This window comes from Homo sapiens, chromosome 4, assembly GCF_000001405.40.
Source record: "Homo sapiens chromosome 4, GRCh38.p14 Primary Assembly".
NCBI lineage: Eukaryota > Metazoa > Chordata > Mammalia > Primates > Hominidae > Homo > Homo sapiens.
In genome coordinates, this window is record NC_000004.12 from 38,151,648 (window position 1) to 38,171,617 (window position 19,970).

General features: G+C 44.4%; 1 long non-coding RNA gene across 1 annotated transcript, besides 2 other annotated features; it reads left to right on the forward strand.

The window, feature by feature from the left end:
• Positions 1 to 3,796: 3,796 nt before the first annotated feature.
• Positions 3,797 to 9,899, forward strand: LOC124900693 (uncharacterized). Its single transcript, XR_007058099.1, has 2 exons — positions 3,797 to 3,913; positions 5,337 to 9,899. It is a non-coding gene; the product is annotated as an uncharacterized LOC124900693 (long non-coding RNA).
• Positions 5,941 to 6,235: a silencer, noted in NCBI's record as "tiled region #4886; HepG2 Repressive non-DNase unmatched - State 23:Low, and K562 Repressive DNase matched - State 8:EnhW". NCBI's record gives its function as "represses a minimal TATA promoter and a strong SV40 promoter by Sharpr-MPRA in HepG2 and K562 cells {active_cell/tissue: HepG2 | K562}" and the evidence as "EXISTENCE:reporter gene assay evidence [ECO:0000049][PMID:27701403]".
• Positions 9,200 to 9,701: an enhancer, noted in NCBI's record as "NANOG hESC enhancer chr4:38162468-38162969 (GRCh37/hg19 assembly coordinates)". NCBI's record gives its function as "activates a minimal SCP1, AML or CMV promoter by ChIP-STARR-seq in naive H9 embryonic stem cells {active_cell/tissue: H9 hESC(naive)}" and the evidence as "EXISTENCE:reporter gene assay evidence [ECO:0000049][PMID:30033119]".
• Positions 9,900 to 19,970: the final 10,071 nt, after the last annotated feature.

A 19,970-nucleotide genomic window follows, 5' to 3' on the forward strand; every position in this document is an offset into this window, starting at 1 on the left:
CTACCACAAGAACAGCATCGGGGGAAAAGCCCCCATGATTCAATCACTTCCCCTCAGGTCTCTCCCTAGACATGGGGATTATGGGGATTACAGTTCAAGATGAGATTTGGGTGGGGACACAGCCAGATCGTATCAGTGGTCTGTGCATTATGGGCAGTCAACATGGAGGAGTGAACACCTGGGAAAGGTAGCCAATTCCAGGCTTGGGAAGGCTCCAAAGCTGTTCCAGAAATGGAACCAGCCACCCCGGCAGGGTGGGGACATGCAAGAAACCATAGGACACCTCCTTGGCTTCAGGACTGGTAGGCACCAGCCACAAAGTCACATCTTGGCCCTTTCCAAGGTTTTCCAGAAAGTTCTAGCATTCTATGCACAAGGCAGGAATCATAATCCTGTGGTTTAGTGGGGCTGAGTGCGGCTGCTACCACAAACACTTCATTAGTCAGAAAGTGCCTCCGTAGGATCACCGGTAGGATCAGAAATGAACTCAAAGCACCAAAAGAAAATATTTTTCGTGTAATATATTTGGAAACTATTTCTCATATGCAGAGGTCCACAAAGCATTCAAAGGCCACAAACCCGAAAATACTACAGACACTTTGGAAGCCTAGGAAGATTTCCCAGTTCCTGAGGCTGCATGACAAGGCTGCCAGTGTTCCTACAGCTGGTGGCCCCAAGAGTCTCCCCTTTTATTATTATTTTTTTCTGTTTCTTACCCCATCAGACCCCTTTCCCTGGGAGGCTCCTTTCAAAAGCTTCACTACATCTGTGAGAGCTTGGAGGGAAGTGAAGAAATCAACCTCCTCTGACAGAGAGGTTTGAAAGCAGAGCTGTTCAGTGTTCCAGTGTCCTGCTGTTCTTTGCAGGCAAATGCTTCTTGTGTTTTATTCACAGTAGCCATAATACATTCCACCCCAAGACTAACATGCAAACATGAAGGGACTGCCTAGAAGACCAGAGAGAAGTGCCGTGGTTTGAGCCTAGATCCCACTTGTGTTAGTCTGTTCTTGCATTGCTATAACAAAATACCTGAAACTAGATAATTTATCAACTAAGGAGGTTTAATTGGCTCACAGTTCTGCAGGCTGTACAAACATGGAGCTGACATCAGCACAGCTTCTGGTAAGGCTTCAGAGAGCTTTTACTTGTGGAGGAAAGCAAAGCAGGAGCAGGCACATCACAAGGCAAGAGAGAGAAGAGGGAGGTCACGGGTTCTTTTAAACAACCAGATCTAGTGTGAACTAACTGAGCAAGAACTCTCATCACCAACGGGATGACACTAAGCCATTCATGAGGGATCTGCTCCCGTGATCCAATACCTCCCATGAGACCCCCCCATCAACATTGGAGGTCACATTTCAGTGAAAGATTTAGAGAGGACAAACATCTAAACCGTAGCACCACTTTTCCTAGCTTCAACCTCAGATTGCAGTTTCTCCTCCCAGGCTTCTCAGACTGGCCTGCATATGGAATACTGTTCCCACTACCTCCTTAACGACTACCCAGGTCTGAACCACAGAGCAGCAAGTGTTAAAAGACACAAGCTCAAGTAAATGCTCTAGGATTGTGCCGTCTAATGTGGTAGCCACTGACCACGGGAGTGACTGAGCTCTGGCAGTGTAGCTAATCCAAATTGAGATGCCCTGTAAGTATAAAATACACACCAGATTTTGAATACTTTGTATAAAAAAGAATGTAAAATATGTTATTAATGCTTATATTGGTTACACTTATTTTTGATACATTGTGTTGAATAGAATATAGCATGTCTTAGTCCACTTTCTGTTGCTGTAACAGAATACCACACACTGGGTCATTTATAAAGAAAATAAGTGTATTTGGCTCATGGCCTGGAGGCTGGGAAGTCCAATGGCACGGTGACACCTTCTAGTGAGGGCTTTTGTACTGTGTCATGGTAGAGGGTGTCACATAGCAAGACTGCAAGAGCATGCCTGTCAGCTTCCTCTTCCTATAAAGCTGCTACTGTCATCAGTGGGGGTCCCCACCCTCATGACCTTATCCAATCCTAATTACCTCCCAAAAGACCCACCTTGAAATAACATACGAATTTGGCACTTAGTTTCTCACACATAAAGTTTGGGGGACACATTTAAACCATAGCATAGTATTAAACTTAATTTCACCTTCTTTGTTTTTACTTTTTTTTTGAGACGGAATCTCACTCTGTTGCCAGGCTGGAGTGCGGTGGCGCCATCTTGGTTCACTGCAACCTCCGCCTCCCGGGTTCAAGCGATTCTCCTGCCTCAGCCTTCCGAGTAGCTGGGATTACAGGCATGCGCCACTGCACCCAGCTAATTTCTGTATTTTTAGTAGAGACAGAGTTTCACTATGTTGGCCAGTATTTTCTCCATCTCCTGACCTCGTGATCTGCCCACCTCAGCTTCCCAAAGTGCTGGGATTACAGGCGTGAGCCATCGCACCCAGCCTGTTTTTACTTTTATTCCTGTGGCTACCACAAAACTTAAAATGATATGTGTGCTTCACACTTTATTTCTATTGGATGGCATTGCTTTAGAAGTGCTGGGAGAAACACCCATGTAGTCTAAGGGTCAGGAGAATTCCTGGAGAGGGGACATTGGGGCTGTGCTGAGACAGGAGGGGGCATTTCATCAGGGGATGAGAGGAGGGCTTTAGGGCTTTTGTGTGGGGAGAAACTACCTCAACTTGCTAGCAGACCAGCTCAGCTGGCGGGGGGGCAGGAGGTGAGTCGGGTTTTATCAGGTTCATATTTCAAATGACTTGCTAGCTCAAGCCAGCTTTTCATTCTGCCATAGCACATCAGGGGCAGGAAATGGAAAGTCGAGATGCAATGTGTCTCCAAGCCCCTTCGGCCCTTCAGGAGGAAGGGAACTGTTTGTCCTGCAAGTCATTGGTACAGACAGTAGCCTACGTAGAGACAGGTTTGCATTTCAGCACAAGGTCCTATAGTAACAGCTGCCATTTCAATGCTGCAGAAATATCTTAAGCACTCACTGTCTCTTCAATGTTCTCAAAAATTCCATCCGGCTACTTTGATTACAGCCTGCATCTCACAAATAAGGAAATAAAGTCTCTGAGGGGTTACTGACAGCCATAAAGCCACATCAGATAAAAGAGGAAGTCAGGATTTGCCCTCCACACCCCTGCTTCTGCACTCAAGACCAGCATGGGCCACCTTGTGCCAACTTCTACTTGGCCCCAGGGCCCCCACCCCAGCTGCCTGCCCCAGACAACCCCACATCTGGCTGCTGGTCGTTCTGCTCTGACTTGTACTGCCTGGCGAGTGCTCCTGGACTCTGCTGGCTGCTCCTAAGCCAACAGGTACAGCCTGAGTCCAGGCCCAGCACCCAGCCCTTTGCCATGGTCCGTGGAATAGAAGGGAAGCGTTCAGAAGCTGCTCCCGGAGCTCTCTGCTGGCTGGGGAAGCTGACCTGGGTGAAAGGGCCAGCTGCCCCATTTCCCCGTGGCTCTGCATCCTCCCATCCCGCTGCAGTGCCCCCGGGTCCCCTAGGGGTCTGTATCTGCTCCAGGGAGATCTGGGCTTGTTGGGCTTTGCCTTTTGTCCAGTCCTCCGTTTCACCCCGCAGGTTCCATCTGGCATTTAGATATTAGAAATAGCTGCAAGTGAGGGTGTGACTTGGGTGGAGACCTGGAGCCTGTACTCCACCCTGAAAAGGAAAAAAAAAAAAAGCTTATTTAATTCATTTCTGTACTTGGAAGCCTCTAGCTATTTAGAATGCCAATTAGGCAGAGGCTGTTGGATTTGTTTTTTTTTTTTCTTTCCCTATCCCAAGACGGCCTGTCTGATTTTCTGTGCCTGTTGACTTAAGCTCTTACAGGAGGTTGGGTGGGGCGGGCGTGGCGCGCCCACAGCTGCTTTGAACGTGGCCTGGCTGAGCTTTGCTGACTTTCGGTAAGAGCCTAGGGGGTGGGGGTGGGGGTGGGTGAGGGGCCACAGAAGGGCCCAGCTCTTCCCTGTTACTTCCAAGATGCAGGAGTTTGGGTTAAGAGGAAAGATGTGTCCCTGAGAGAGGGGAGTCCAGCTGACTGGTGACTGAGGAAGCCCTTAACAGATATCCCCACCGGGAGGGTGCTAGGGCTCTTGGCTCCTGCAGAACTTGGGCCTCTCCAGGACTCATCTGGCATCAGTTGTAGTTTCTATGTGCTCTAAGTCACTATTTCCTCGTCAGTGTGGTGATTCCAGTCCCTGCCCAGAGCTCAGGGTGGGTTTTGTGGTACCTGAGCGTGGCATACCGTAAGACTTACAGACATTAGCTCTCATCGGCTTCTGTATTCTCTTGACATACACAGCCAGATGACGCTCAAAGAACAATTCCTGAATGGTTGAATGCAATTTATAGGAAGACCAACATAAATTGAAGGGCCTCTAGTTATTAGCCAAATATTAATATGTAAGATGATATTTTTTTAAAGTGAAAGCATTGCATCATACAATGTAAAGTGTATGTTATTGCATAATTATTAAAGCATCACAAAGTAAATGACTGCAACAGTTTAAAAATCCATGCAAGTAGATATTTCAGCAAGCAAAAATAAGAAACATCCATACACTCACCCTCCAGCGGTCATGGCCATTATTAAAACACTATGATGTGTGATCTTTGGGCTCTTTTTCTATGGATATATTAATTTGTACTTGCATATACATGGGGCGGAGGCTCTGATGCTGTTAGTGAGGGTTGTAAAGGAGTGACGGCGCTTTTGCCCCTATGGTTCTTTGGGTGTCACTGATGTGGCCTGGAGCTTGTGTGACGGAGGGAGAGATGGAACTGGGGGTGCACTGGCCCTATTGAGAAACAGGGATGACAGGGAAAGTAAAGCGATGTCACGGCCTTTGTCCTTAACCTGCCTGGGAACCCAGTTTGAGTTTTCACGGGGGAGAGAGGTAAGGGCCACAGGCTAAAGAAACTGGTTTTATGACAGACTTTGTGAGCGTCTGGGCACAGACGATCCTGCTTCAGGACCAAATGACAAGATGAATCAGGGAGGGGGTTGATGTTGGCACCATTACCTGCAGTGACAATGGGTTTCTTTGAAAGTTTGTTTAATGGGCTACTCACTGCAAATGAACAAAATGGAGAACAGTCGCGGGTTCTAGTGGTTTAGACACTAAACTCCCTTTGAGACTGCTGGGAAAAACAGGAAGATTTTAAAGGGAGACTCCGGTTCTGCTGTTTGGGGAGCTCAGAGTCATGGGAATTTGGGTATAAATATAAATTGGATGCTCTTATTAAACAAATATTGACTCATTTATTTTATAATAACTTATTGTTTGGTTATGAAGATGAAAACATTAATTTAAATTATGTTCATAGAGTCCATTCCATCATTTATCGAACAACAATAAGAAGATGAGATTCAAAGGAATTCCACAGTGTTCTTCAGATTCTATCAGTTGTAGGACACTTCAGGTATACAAAGACGGCTGGCTACCCTTTATTTCTCCAAAGTCCATCCTTGCTTGGCATGATGGCAAAGGAAAATGAACATGAGGCCCACCTAGTGCAGCATTTTAGATCTAACTTGGTACCCAATTGAGGAAACAATCTGAACTTCACAAATCCCAAGTCGGCAACCACGTGCCAAGCCTGCCAGCACCCATGATGAACTATGGCTTTGTCAGCTGTCTTGGGCCATTTGGTGTTGCTACAAAGGAACACCTGAGGCTGTGTAATTTCTAAAGAAAAGAAGTTATGTGGTGCATGGCTTAGCAAGCTCTATAAGAAACATGGCGCCAACTCCTACCTCTGATGAGGTCCTTTGGTTGCTTCCCTTCATGGCAGAAGGCAGAGCGGAGCCAGCGTGTGCAAAAGCCACATAGCAAGAGAGGAAGCAAGGGGAGGGAGGTGCAGGCTCTTTTTAACAATCAGCCCTCAAGGAAACTAAAAGAATGAGAATTCACTCACCACCCTCCCCCAGGGAGAGCATCAACCTATCCACAAGAGACCCATCCCCATGACCCAAACACCTCCCATTTGGCCCACCTCCAACATTGGGGATCAAGTTTCAACATGAGATTTGGAGGAGACAAGCATCCAAACTATAGCACCCACCTTCAGGAGCTGGGCATGTAATACTCAGGAGAAGGTCAACTGCAAGCCACACCCCTGGGAAGAGGCACACCCTCTTATGTAATGCAACAGCCACAGCCTCCGGACTTCATTCCTATCTCATATCCAGAGTTTAAGTGCAGCAGAGGAGTAAAACCTGACTCTAGAAGCTTAAGTGCTTTCCAGGTGTTAATACTGCCTTGCAGAATGCCTTGGGAGAGCTCAATTGTACATTACATTCCTTATGAACACAGTTCCTGTGTGTCATGCTCCTTAGAGGGTATCTGATGAGAGAAGCTTACTGCTGGCAGGTGCTGTAGGAATCCCTTTCTTCAGACAGGACCTTGCCTTGGGTCCTCCATGGCCTGTGAAAGTCTTCAAGGGTCTAACCTCTTGTTCTCTCTTTTATGTGCCTCCCTCTCCCCAACTTGAGAGAGTCTCACTATAACCCCAGAACACCATTCAATTTCCACTTCATTGTAGACTGAGTCTTTATTACCAGATGTCAAGGTGTTTTTTACTGAAGCATCAACGTCACTTTTTCAGACAGATGGTCTTTTAAAACCCCAAGGCAGGGAGAAGTATGGAAAAGCTGTATCTACAGAGAGGTGATTTCATTCTTAACTTATGTTTTTCTTCATTAGATGCCAAAGAAATACTTCTTGAACTCATGATCTCCACTGCTACCATATTGGTTCAGGCCACCATTCTCTTTGGGCTGGACCAGTGCAATCTTTTTCAATGGTTTTATTTGCTTCCAGCCCTTCTCCAACCATACTCATCCAGGTGATCGAAACACACACACACACACACACACACACCTGACCTTGTCCCTCCCCACCACTGCTGAACTCCACCTACTTTCAGTCCTGCAATGACACTGGCTGTCTTTCAGATTCCCAAATCTGCACAAACCCATTCCTTCCTCTGTCAGAGCCTTTGTCTGGACTGCTTCTCCTGCCTTTCCTTCTTTGAAATTGACTCCTTTAACTTCAGATCTCAGCTCAAGCATCGCTTCCTGTAAAAGCGTTTCACAAACTCCAGGCTAGAACAATTTCCTTGCAATATGTTCTTTTAACACTTGGTAGTTTCTTTCCATTTCATTGATCAGAATGACTGCTTATATATTTTTCTGGGTGACTACTTGATTAATGTCTGTCTTTTCACTAGATTATAAGTGACATGAGAATAAGGACTGTGCCCATTTTGGTCACCATTATATCCTTAATACCTAGCACAGAGCCCAACACAAAAATGCGTTATTAATAGATATTTGTCAAATACTTTTACTTGAATAGATATGTGAACTTGGCTCCCAGGAGTTTATCATCAGCTAGGAGAGAAAAAGATTGCTCTTTATTCCCCAAAGCCCTTTTCAAATGTCATCCTCATCGTGAGGTTTCCCTGTGCAATCCCCTTTCCTCCTCTCCACCCCTGGACAGAATAACCTTCTTCCAGCGCAGGCCCCAGCATGCTCTGTTGTTCCTTAGTATTCCCTTCTTGGGCTTTTGGAAGAAGACTGGTCTGCCTTCATCCAAATCTTTCAACTGGACAGATCCACCTGGATACCTGCATCAGTTTCTTAGGGCTGCCAATATAAAGTACCAGAAACTGGGTGGCTTTAAACAACAATTCACCATCTCACAGTTCAGGAGGTTAGAAGTCTGAAATTGGAAAGTCCGCAGGGCCATGCCCCCTCTGAAGCCTGTTAGGGAGAATCCTTCTGACATCTTCTAGCTTCTGGAGTTTGCTGCCAATCTTTGATATTTCTTGGCCTGTAGGTGCATCACTCCAATCTCTGCCTCCATGATCACATGACTGTCTTCTTATAAGGACACCAGTCATATTAAGGCCCACACTACTCCAAGAGGACCTCATTTTAACAAACTATATCTGCAACTCCCCTACTTCCAAATAAGGTCACATCTTGAGACATTGAGGATTGTGACTTGAATACATCTTTTGGGAGGACACAGTTCAACACATAGCAATAGGCAGTGGGTAACTCAAACTCACCAGATCTCAAATTGGCCTCCATGTCTTTTCCCCGGACTCACTCATTTTCCTGTACTCCTTATCCTGATTGGGGGCACTAGGCCCTAAAGCAGAAACCTGGAAGTCATTCTATTCTTCTCCTTCTTTTATATCTACATAGTCATGATGTTCTAACAAGTATCTCTTTAAGAGTTCTCATATTCATCCCCCAAATCCCTGTTTTAGTTTCTTCATCATTTTTAACCTATGCAACTATAAGAATCAAACTAGTTTTTCTATCTCTTGTTTCAACCCCCTCTAACTCATTCTCTGCATTGCTGCATGAGACTTTTTTTTTTTTTTTTTTTTTTTTTTTGAGATGGAGTCTCGCTCTGTCGCCCAGGCTGGAGTGCAATGACGCGATCTCGGCTCACTGCAACCTCCACCTCCCAGGTTCAAGTGACTCTCTCGTCTCAGCCTCCCAAGTAGCTGGGACTATAGGTGCCCGCCACCATGCCTAGCTAATTTTTGTGTTTTTAGTAGAGACAGGGTTTCACCATGTTAGCCAGGCTGGTCTCCAACTCCTGACCTCAGGTGATCCGCCCACCTCGGCCTCCCAAAGTGCTGGGATTACAGGCGTGAGCCACCGTGCCTGGCTGAGACATTTTTAAAACACAAGTATTACCATGATACCATGTTTAGAACTCTTCTCAAGCTCTGCTCTGCACATAAGGTGGTCCAAATTCCTATGCAGAGCACATGAGATTTCATCATCTCATCCCTACTTTTCCGAGCTCCTCTTTAGACATTTCCTCTTGCAATCTCTTCTCCAGTCATTGTGAACCATTCACAGTTCCCTAAACCCAGGAAACAGTTTCATGCCTTGTGCTTGTAGCAGAGACATTTATTACTCATGGAATAGCCATGTGTTCCTGTACATTTTGCAACTCCGGGAGGCATGTGATTAGTTCTGGCCAATGGGCTGTGGATGAAAATTTTATGTGTCACCTCTGAGCTGAAGCATTGAAGAGCCAGTGTGCTAAATTCCAGCTTTTTTTGTTTTCCTGCAATGCCAGCTTACAAACCACATGTTCCAGGTGGTACAGCTGGACCCTCTAGCTTGGGTCCCCAAGTGACTGTGTGGAGCAGGGCCCTGCTCCTTACTCCTCCTGTCCAGCTGACCTGATTAGGCAGGTGACCTGAGTGAGAAATAAACTTCAGCTATCTTCAGCTACGAAGGCTTCAGGGTCATATTATTACCAAAGCATAACCTAGGCTTTCCTGACTCATGCTTTTGTACAAGCTCTTCCCTTTGCCTAACATGACCCCCTTCAGCTGCCTGGGAAAGTCTTACTGATCATTCCAGCCCCATTGATCTTCTCTTCTGTGAAACCTGATCTGAGTCATTGCAAAAGAAAGCTAACTACTTCCTCCTGTGCTCCCATGGCAACTTGTAAACAATGCTGACATCATCCTCATCGCTGGTTATCATAACAATTTAATATCCATCAATTCATATGGTACTAGATCATGGGTGCATTGAGGGCAGGGACTGTGTGTCCATCCAGCTATCAAATTTGTATCTCCAGCACCCCACAGAAGGATTTGCATACAGACGATACCCAATCCAATGAATGATGAATGAATAAAAAACTGACTAAATGTAATCTGTACAGAATAGGCTTTTGGCTGAGCATGATGGGGGAGGTCTGGGTCATACAGTGAAAACACTGTATGGGACTCTATAGTTTGCAGACATTAGAAGACAATAATTGCCATTTTGAGCTTATGTTGAATTCATATTGGCCTGTATAATGTGTATTACTATAGAAAATAAAACTTTCATACATACAATCAGGAAGGTGATTCTTCAAAGAGTGTCTAAAAATTAATTATGACTCATGAGTGAGTGCACGAGAGTGGAATCAATGTGGGTCCTGTTAGTGGAGAGTGTTTATTTAGGAAACAACACTGCACATGTGTAACAGCCAGAATGACGATTAAGATCACGTGTAACTGGCACATTACAAAAAGGTGGAAAGGACACTGTGAACAAAATGCAACTCTATCTATCATCTGTCTACCTATCTATCATCTCTCGATTTATCTACCTACCTATCATCTATCAATCTATTATCTATCATCTATTAGCTATTATCTATCTATCTTCTGTCTATCATCTATCTATCATCTACCTATTATCTATCATCTATCTACTATCTATCATCTATCTACCTATCATCTGTCTATTATCTATCTATCTATCAATCTATCTATTATCTATCTATCATCTATCTATCTATCTATCTATCTATCAATCATCTATCTATCTTCTATCATCACCTATAAATCCCATGACAGCAGTAGGGGCAGATCTAAGTTTTGTGGGGCCTCTCATTGCCTCTTTAAATTAATTCTATTGGGTAGGGGCAGCATTCCTCTACCCCTGCTGATGACTTGGGTAGACCAGAGATCTCAAGGTCACATTCAGACAATAAAATATCCTTTGAATTGCACAAAATGGCCTCCATTCAGATTTTAGCATTCCAAGTTGCAGATAATAGTTAAAACTTCAGAAACAATTTAGCTTTAAATCTTCTTTCCTTCCCTGGCTGGGACCTGTCTCACCCAGGAAGTCTGCCCTGGGAAGGGGTCATGGCCCTCTTCCTTTCCCCTCCCTCTGCTCACCTCCTTCCCTTTGTTTGCTGCTATTTCCCTCCATTCCTGGAATGAAGCCCAGAAAGGGGAGAGGTATGAGGATGAAACAGCTCTCATGTGGCTGGGCAGCCTAAGGCTTTTGGGCCGGACAGCTGGCCTCCCTGGAGCAGCCTGGCTGATGATTAAAGCTGACCCTGCCATGAGCTCCACAAAGGCCTCCAGCTGGGCTGCTCTCGCCTGTGGTTCCATTGACCCAGGCTGAAGCACCTCTGTCCCTTCAGGTGGTCTCATGTGATTCTTTCCCCAGCTCCTGGGATTCTGGAGGTGCCACGTCCAGTCCCTCTGCTGAGGTCTTCAGTCCATGCCTTTAAGCCCCAAGACCACCCCACACTACCCCACACCTGCTTCTTTTCCCACGGGGCCCTCATCTGGTCTTGGGACATGCTGCTTGCTCTGCCACAATAGTATCCATCGGTTAAAATATTTTGGCGCTGTCCTATGTCCTTTGCATTTATTACCTAATTAATAATGCTCACAACCAAGTAGGTACATTTGGCAGGCTGTATCCATGGGTATTTCCTGTAAAATTTCTGTCCCTGGTTTTGCCATCATGAAACACTGTGTGCACATTTCATTTGTCATTGATTTTGGCTGCAGAAACAGGAATCAGGAGATTGAGGCTTTATCTTGGCTTGACCATGAACTCACTGTAAAGCTTACGGCAAGTCAGCCATATCTCTGGGCCTCAGTTTCCACAGCAATAAAATAGGGAAGTGGAATGGATTCATCCTTACAAGGTTCCTTTTCTTTTCTTTTTTTTTTTCTTTTGAGACAGAGTCTCGCACTATCGCCTGAACTGGAGTGCAGTGGTGCAATCTTGGCTCACTGCAACCTGTGCCTCTCAGGTTCAAGCGAGTCTCCTGCCTCAGCCTTCCAAGTAGTTGGACTACAGGTGCACCACCACACCCAGCTAATATTTGTATTTTTAGTAGAGATAGGATTTCAGCATGTTGGCCAGGCTGGTCTCAAACTCCTGACCTTGTGATTCACCTGTCTCGGCCTCCCAAGGTGCTGTGATTACAGGTGTGAGCCATGGTGCCCAGCCCCAAGGTTCCTTTTCACAGTAAAAGTCCATGATTTAAGAAATAATTCTAGGATAAAGAAATGCGTGTAGGCTTGGGGATAGGAGGGGAAAGGCTAGTTAGGATGTGGGGTTCAAGGATTTAAGTAATCCTTAAAGGTCCTAAGCATCCTTCAATATTGAACAAACTTAAATATGGATCTAAAATGCCTTGGAATCTAGGGCTTTGTCAATTGCTTCTTTCACAACTCTAATGAGAAATCTCATTAAAAAGAGAGGTTTCAGTCCATGGTTTTGAGAAACTTAAAAACATTTGTCTGCCTGACTCATTAACTCCACTACCAGAAATAGATTCTAAGAAATAATCAGAAGCTTACACAAAGGTTTGTGTATAAGACAGTGAGTCACCATGATCTTTAGAGTAGTAAAAGGTAGAAACAACTCCCTTTGTTCCATCTCTGCTCACACGACACCTCCTTAGAGAGGGTCTTGACCTGGACAAATAAAGTGGCCCCTGTCTTCTTACCATGCCTTTATTTGTTATGTCATAAGACGATCACCATGTGATGAAGTATATATTTATTTGTTAATGTGTTTGCTTTCTTTCTCACAACTAGGATGTCAGCCCCATGAGAGCAGTAGGGGAAGATCCAAGTTTTGTGTGACCCGAAGCACATATAAATCTGAGGCCTGTTTTAAGAAAAACAATTTTTAAAAAAGAATATAAAATTAGACATGAGAATGAACACTGATTTAGAAAGGGAAGAAAAGGTCTGTCATTCATTAGCCTTGTGGTGATTCTGCCATAGAGGGGCAAAGGCTTGGTCTGTCTTTTTCACAGCTACATCCTGATGACCTGAAACAGTACCTGGCACATAGTAGGTGCTCAAGAAATACTTGTGGAAAGAAAGAGTGCCCAAAAAGAGAGAACTGGTTAAATAAACGAGCAAAAGAGGAGGAGAGAGCCTATATAATTTGACCTCAAACACAATAAGCAACTGAAAGAACTGGATTTGAACACAGATCTGTTCTCTCCTTCTTTTTGAGTTTGTGACTACCCAGCCAAACTCCGTTCCCAGCCTCCCTTGCAGCTAGGTGTGCCCATGTGATGAAATTCTTGCAAGTTAAATGTGACCGGAAATGATGATGCCACTTCTTGGCCTCAGTCTTAAGACCATGGGTATGCTTCCTCTCCATGCTGGATACAATTTGGATGTGGTGATGACTTAGTTGGACAAGATTCTGAGGGGGATGGTAAAGCAATACATTGGAAAGAACCAGTCTTCCTGAAGGTAAAGGACAGAGTTTCCTCCCTGACCTGCATAGTTCACATCAGGATTGTGATGTGACAGAGAAATAATCTTTATTGTTCTCTAAGTCATGGTATTTTGGGCTCTTTGTTACAGCAGCTTAGCCTTGTGCCAATAGTTTTTGTTTGTTTGTTTGTTTTTTGAGACAAGGTCTCACTCTGTCACCCAGGCTGGAGTGCAGTGGTATGATCTTGGCTCACTGCAACCTCCACCTTATGGGTTCAAGCAATTCTTCTGCCTCAGCCTCCAGAGTGGCTGGGATGATAGGGATGTGCCACCATGCCCTGGGTAATTTTTCTATTTTTGGTAGAGACAAGGTTTTGCCGTGTTGGCCAGGCTGGTCTCAAACTCCTGGCCTCAAGTGATCGGCCCTCCTTGGCCTCCCAAAGTGCTGGGATTACAGGTGTGAGCCACCGCCCCCAGTCTACAGTTTCTTTTTCCCAAATTAAAAGTTGTATTTATTTCATATTAGTCTACTTATTTTTATTTATCTATTTTTATAAATTGACAAATGATAATGAATACAGTTTTTCTACTCAGGCCTTTTGCAGTGCATTCTACTGCCTTCTAGCAACACTGCTAGAAATAGGGCGAGTGAGTTATTTACCGTCAGGCCTGAGAGATGCTGTGTGGTTTTCTCCTGGCTGTTCCCAATGCTTCTCTTCCCTGGTAATATGAACAATGGCTGTGAGTCTGGTACTGTGCTAAATGCTTTCCATGAAATAATTTACTCAATCCTTACCTTTTGAGTAGATAGTTGTATTATCTCCACTTTACAATGAACAAACTGAGGCACAGAAAGTGTAAGCAACCCACCTAAGTAAGTGTGAGGGCTGGGATGTGGACACGGGAAGGCTGGTCCCATAACTGACTTTCCCGGTCACCATGCTCTGTTCTTCTTGTCTTGCTTCTTCTGCTCCCTTCCTCTCTTGCAGATCCCTTCAACTCCCCTCCATCATGAATAGGCCAATAGGGGCACCCAATGGCTATAAATAAAAAGAGGTTCCTGCCTCTCTCTGTCAATTGTTCCACATTTATGTCTATTTGGTGTCTTCATGGGATATTAAGGACTCTGGCATTTGATGAATGTCCTTCGGTACCAATCAGTCCAGCATCTCTTTGGGCACACTGGGCACACTGGAGAGAGCCCTGGACTGGGAGCCAGTAGTCTAGTTTCCAGATCTGGCTCTGCCACAGGTGTGCATGTGTCCTTGACCATGGTACTCCCATCTGTCAGTGCAGGGATGGATGATGACCTCTAGGATTCCTCATAGCCCTAAAGTCTGTGATATAATTCTTTCCTTCCTCAGCCTGGTATCTGTCCTTTGGCACTGCTGGCCTGCCTTTCCCCAGGAAGCCCATGGGCAGGAATCAGCTCCCTCTTTAGAGCCTGAGAGGAGCATTATGTGGTCTTGCCGATTTTGACAGGCAAAAGGAGAAGGTGAGGAAAGTCAGGCTCTCTGGTCTCCTAGTTGGTGCTGCCATCCGCAGGCTTAAATGTCTCCCTGAAATGCAGATGGAAATGAAGCAAGGTGAAAGGGTAAGCGTAGGAGCAGAGCAACTTCTAGGCTTAAAGAGGAACTTGAACCCAACTGACTCACGAGGGAAGTGGTTGTTGACCTCGAATCCTAGTTGACTTGCAAGTTGGTAGCTTGTCTTTTGAGAGACTTAGATGAATTTAGTTCCCGTGCCCATGAACTTCTGTCATTCATGGCAAAAAGAGGTAGCCTCCAAAAGAGCGATTGAACAAGAAGAATTTGGGGATGCATGAATGAATAAATGAAGGATATGGCAATTCTTTTTCTGTGAATGCCTTGGGCAATCAGACAGAAAAGATACTTAGCTCTCCAGGATGGCTTAGATGGATCTCCTCAACGCCACTCCCTGTTGAACTGATTGCGCCTGAAACACGCCAGAGTACAGGGGTCTTTGGGAAGCCTTTAATCCTGGCTGTCTGCTAAACTCAAACTTTCCCTCCTTCCTGATTTTACCATAGTCTTCCTTCTATAAATTACTTGCACATGGTAGATACAGTTTCAGTTCTGGGCTAACAAAATGGCAGCCAGAAACCATTCAGTCATAAGATGAGCAGTGACAGAAAAAAACAGGGAAGAGATAAAACCTTAAGCTGTAAGCAGGGTGGGCCTCTGCCAAATAAAGATGTTTATTGCTCTTCTGCTTTCTCAACAAAATTATAAGATTGAACGCCTTGATTTATGTGGCTCAGCAGATGTTCTCAAATCTATTAGCTCCTTGCCTCCTCCGTTGAGTGGGTGGTGCAAAAATAAAATCTGCAAGGAAGAAGCTGGCAGTGACAGGAAAGGAAGTGAGGGGCCTCTGAGAGATTAGGAGCTGAGACATGACCCAGAAATAAAAGAAAAGGAGAATCTGAAGGAACAAGTCTTCACGGTTCCTGTTCAATGAACTTTTCTCTAACAAGAGACAAAATTTGCACAGCCACAAATTATTGCAATTCAGAGAGCCAAGTGTATTGAGTTGAAAACATATTTTATGTAGGGAGGTGTCTTACATTGAGGTTGTCATAACAAAATCTCATAGACTGGGTAGCTCACGGACAACAGAAATTTATTTCTTACACTTCTGGAGGCTGGGGAGTCCAAGATCAAGGCTGGCAGATTTGAGGTCTGGCTTCTTGGTTCATAGATGGCCTCTTCTTTCTGTGTCCTCACGTGATAGAAAGGGTGAGGACCTCTCTGGGATCTCTTTCATAAGAACACTAACCCCATTCATGAGGACTCTACTGTCATGATCTAATCACCACCCAAAAGCCCCACCTCCTAAGACCATCACCTTGGGGGTTAGGATTCCAACACATGAATCTGGGGGGAACACAGGCACTTAAACCGTAGCAAGAGGCATTAACAGTATTGATGGCCCAAATCTCTCACCCAAAGAAAGTTGTCCAATACATTTGAGAAAATTTTAATGACATGGGTCCCTCGATGCCACCACCTTCTCTCATTTTTCTCTTTCCCCTTCCATATTGGCCGCATGTCTATCACCCCTTCAATTCAGGCTGGCCATCCAGAACCTTCCCCACTAGATAATATCTCTACCTCAAATTAAAAACAGTCTCCTTCCTACTTGTTCAGAGCCCTGGTGTCAGGATGGTTGCGGAAGATTGTTAAACTGGCAGCACGACGTGGAGATTTCCTGGGGATTTCAATCACCCAGTTCCCCCTACCCTTCCTGACAGAGGTTAATCACGAGGGGAATGAAAACAACACACAATCTTATGAGCAACGAAGGATAGGTTGGATGGAACCCACAGAGGCCAGCTGAGATTTCAATTTCCTTACTGTAATGAAAACTGCATTTCCATTAACTGCTGCAGTAGAAATTATTTACCAATGGCCACCTGTGATATCATTGTCCCGTAGTTTATGTGGCGTGGACTGACTCTGCAAGGGGTGGCTACTGAAGCCTCTATTCATTATCCCCCTCCTTGAAGCCCGGGGGATGCTGCATGTGAGCAAAGGCAGTGCTTTTGTGTGCATGAAAAAGGAGGAGCCAATTCATAATATCATGGTGATATAAAAAATGATTCTTCTCCCATTTTTCTATGACCTTTCCTTGCTTGATTTGAATTTATGATTTTCTGCATGTGTTTCAGATGCCAGATATCACCAATAAGAATAAATAACAAACTTATTTTCCAACGAGCTATATGCCCCGCCGTGAGTTAAGTGCTTTGTATACATTATTCCACATAGTTAGAATAGCCTGGTGTGCCAGAGATTGTCCTCTAGTATCCATCCTTTTCTTCTTCCTTTGATAATATAATCCCACGTTTTTCAGCTCAGCACATGATTTCCTGCAATCGAACCATGTATCACACCAGCCGCCCTTGCAGCTATGTGTGACCATGTGGTCACTGGGATGTAAGAGTTTCGTGTGCAATTTTCGGGACATATCCTCAGCAGGAGGGAACATGCTGCCCTCCCTCTGCCTTTTAAACGCACACATCCTTTATTTTATTATAAAAATTAAGATTTGATATGGAGATTTTCTATATGATAATGGTCACGTAATGCATAGATAAAGGAACCATCTATTCTGATATGACAATGCTAGAAATAGAGGGGACTAAAACACATATCTTTAGAAATGTGCAAGTACAGTTGTCCCTCAGTATACACAGCAGATTGGGTCAAGGACCCTTGCATATACCCAAATCCACAAAACATGCCCTTTTGTTCACCGGCTGGAATGTGGACATAATAGTTGGACATGAGTAGCCGTCTCAGACCATGAGATGGAAGCCACTTGTTGAAGATGGTAAAGCAACAAGAAGGAGCTTCAGGCCCTGATGACTGTGAGGGAGAATTTTGAGTTTTTTTGCAGCTGCAGCTGAACGTATCTTACTAGAAACACTCTGCAAGAAGGTAATAGAATGAGGTATTGGAGAGCATGGGCTTTGGGGTCAGATGCACCAGGGTTAAAATTCTTCTTCTGCACTTATCAGCTTTGTGACCTTAGGCAAGTAACTTAACCATCCTGTATCGGATTCTTTATTTGTATAATTAGTGGAAGTAAAACCTCATTGAATTTTGTGACAAGTTTAGGTATATATGATATATCTAAAATTTTCAGCATAGAACTTGGCACATGGTAAATGCATGAGACAAGGTAGATGTTGTCTTGTATGAGGAAACAAGCCTCAGATAAGTTAAAAAATTTCTTCCAAGGCCACACAGATAAATGATTGAGAGTCAGACCTGGAAGTCCCCAAAGCTTGTGATTTTCTGGGACATTGACCACCATGGATGCCCAGAGGTCATCATGAAAAACAAGAACATAAAAGTTAGCTGCTTTGTAAGCTTGCTAGTTAACACACCCAGACACACACACACACACACACCCAGACACATACGCACATGCACTTTGTATGTGACTCATTCTTTGACTGTAAAATTATTATCTCTTACAAACGAATCTGCTGAAATAGAAATGTTTATTTATTTGAACTAATATGCACCGACGTTACCTGGTATACAAAGTTTCCAATAGGTGTTGCTGTTGTTCCCTTATCCCTCAGGATCTCTGGCTTATGATGCAATCTTCTGTCACACAATCACATTCTCCATTTCCTTCATTTCTATTGAGTTCGGTTTTAAATTTTCAGATGAGCTGAGCTCAGAGATAGTCTCTAATCTTCCAAATCTGTGCCAATGGTGTCCTTCCCATCCAGGCTTTCTACAGATCAGGGCTGAGGTGAATTGTTTTACATCAACTATGGGCTTATAACAAAGAGGGTGATATCAGTGGCCCTTAAGTCAAAGAAGATTATTGAACAAGGCTGTGAGCTCCATGAAGGCAGGGACTGTGTCTGTTTTATTCATTGATATATCCCTACCACTTACCCCAGAAGGGCTCCATCAATATGTGTTGAATGAACTTTGAATGAACGGGCGCTTTCAGGATCACCATGCAATAAACAGTCATGGATGACATAAGCCATCAAATTGATGCTAATCACTTCCCCACCGAGCCCAGTTATAGTGGGCATTTGCCCAGCTTTGCCCCCCAGCATGCAATCCACTATTCTAAAGCCCCTCATCTTCCCTTTAGGGAGTTTTACGCTGTGGGTTGTTTTCTAGGGGTGGGAGAGGAGAGCGCTTGCCTCTTAGAAACCAAAGGGGCCAGATGCTCTTTCTGGAAACTTTGAACAACTGCTGCAAGAATGCGGATTGGTTGGAGGCCATTCACTGCAGGGCTGGTGTAGCATGTGGATCATATGCATCTGCTCTGAGTTTGGCAATGCTAACTTCAGCCTCTTCTTCACCAGCACTCTCAGGCCCTGCCCGCTTTCCAACCCTGGACTTCTAACCCTCCAGAGATTCTGATGTCCTGCAAATACTTGGAATAGTCCTATCCCTTAGTTTCATAAGAAAGCATGTAAGCTAAATTGTTAGAGAGATTTCACAGATAGTCTTTGTCCTCACCAACAGGCTTAAAGATTATTTGGTAAATTTCCAAATAGTAACTTGGGAGCAGGAGAGAGAAGTTGCACTGTCAAGGCCAATATGATTCAATTTGAAATATGGAGATTGAAGTAATTGGAGAAGGTGATAGTCACTGGTTCTGATCCTAAAATGATTATTAGGATAAAAAATCTGACACTGAAAAAGTTGGAGGGAAGCGAGTTGAAGGCTGGATCCATGGCTAAATATGGTGCCAACACCTGCTTTTACAATTGCTGATGCATTTTTCTCATCAACAAAGAATGTATGCTGGCAGGTTTCTCACTCCCTTTGCAGAGTGGTTGTTGCTGTGCTGTCTCTTCACATATTGTGAGGATTCTGGGTCATTTTCTCGAGTTTGAAACTGTGGATGTGGCAATGGCTATTTCCAGATAGAAAACAGTGGAATCCTGGAAAGAGCTGAAGAAACTATCAACTCGAATTTTGCACTTTGGTTCAAGTGAATTTTGAAAGCAGATCCTTTGCATTTTACGCATCTATAAAGGGAACCAGGGGCTCATTCTACACTGTGATTGTTCTCTAGGAAGAATGTACTTTCATTACAAATTACATCCGAAATATTCATACTGTGCTTTATGTTTTTTTTGTCTTTGTACTTCAAAAAGAACAATTTGAGAATCAAGTTTCATATGCCACCTTTGATAGTATAATTCCCATTGGAGCAATTGTCTCCCTTCTTCCTCATCTCTTTCTGAACCTACTTAAAAAAAAAAAAAGGCCAGTCTCGGTGGCTCATGCCTGTAATCCCAGCACTTTGGGAGGCTGAGGTGGGTGGATCACAAGGTCAGGAGTTCGAGACCAGCCTGACCAACATGGTGAAACCCATCTCTACTAAAATACAAAAATTAGCCGGGCGTGGTGGTGAGCCCCT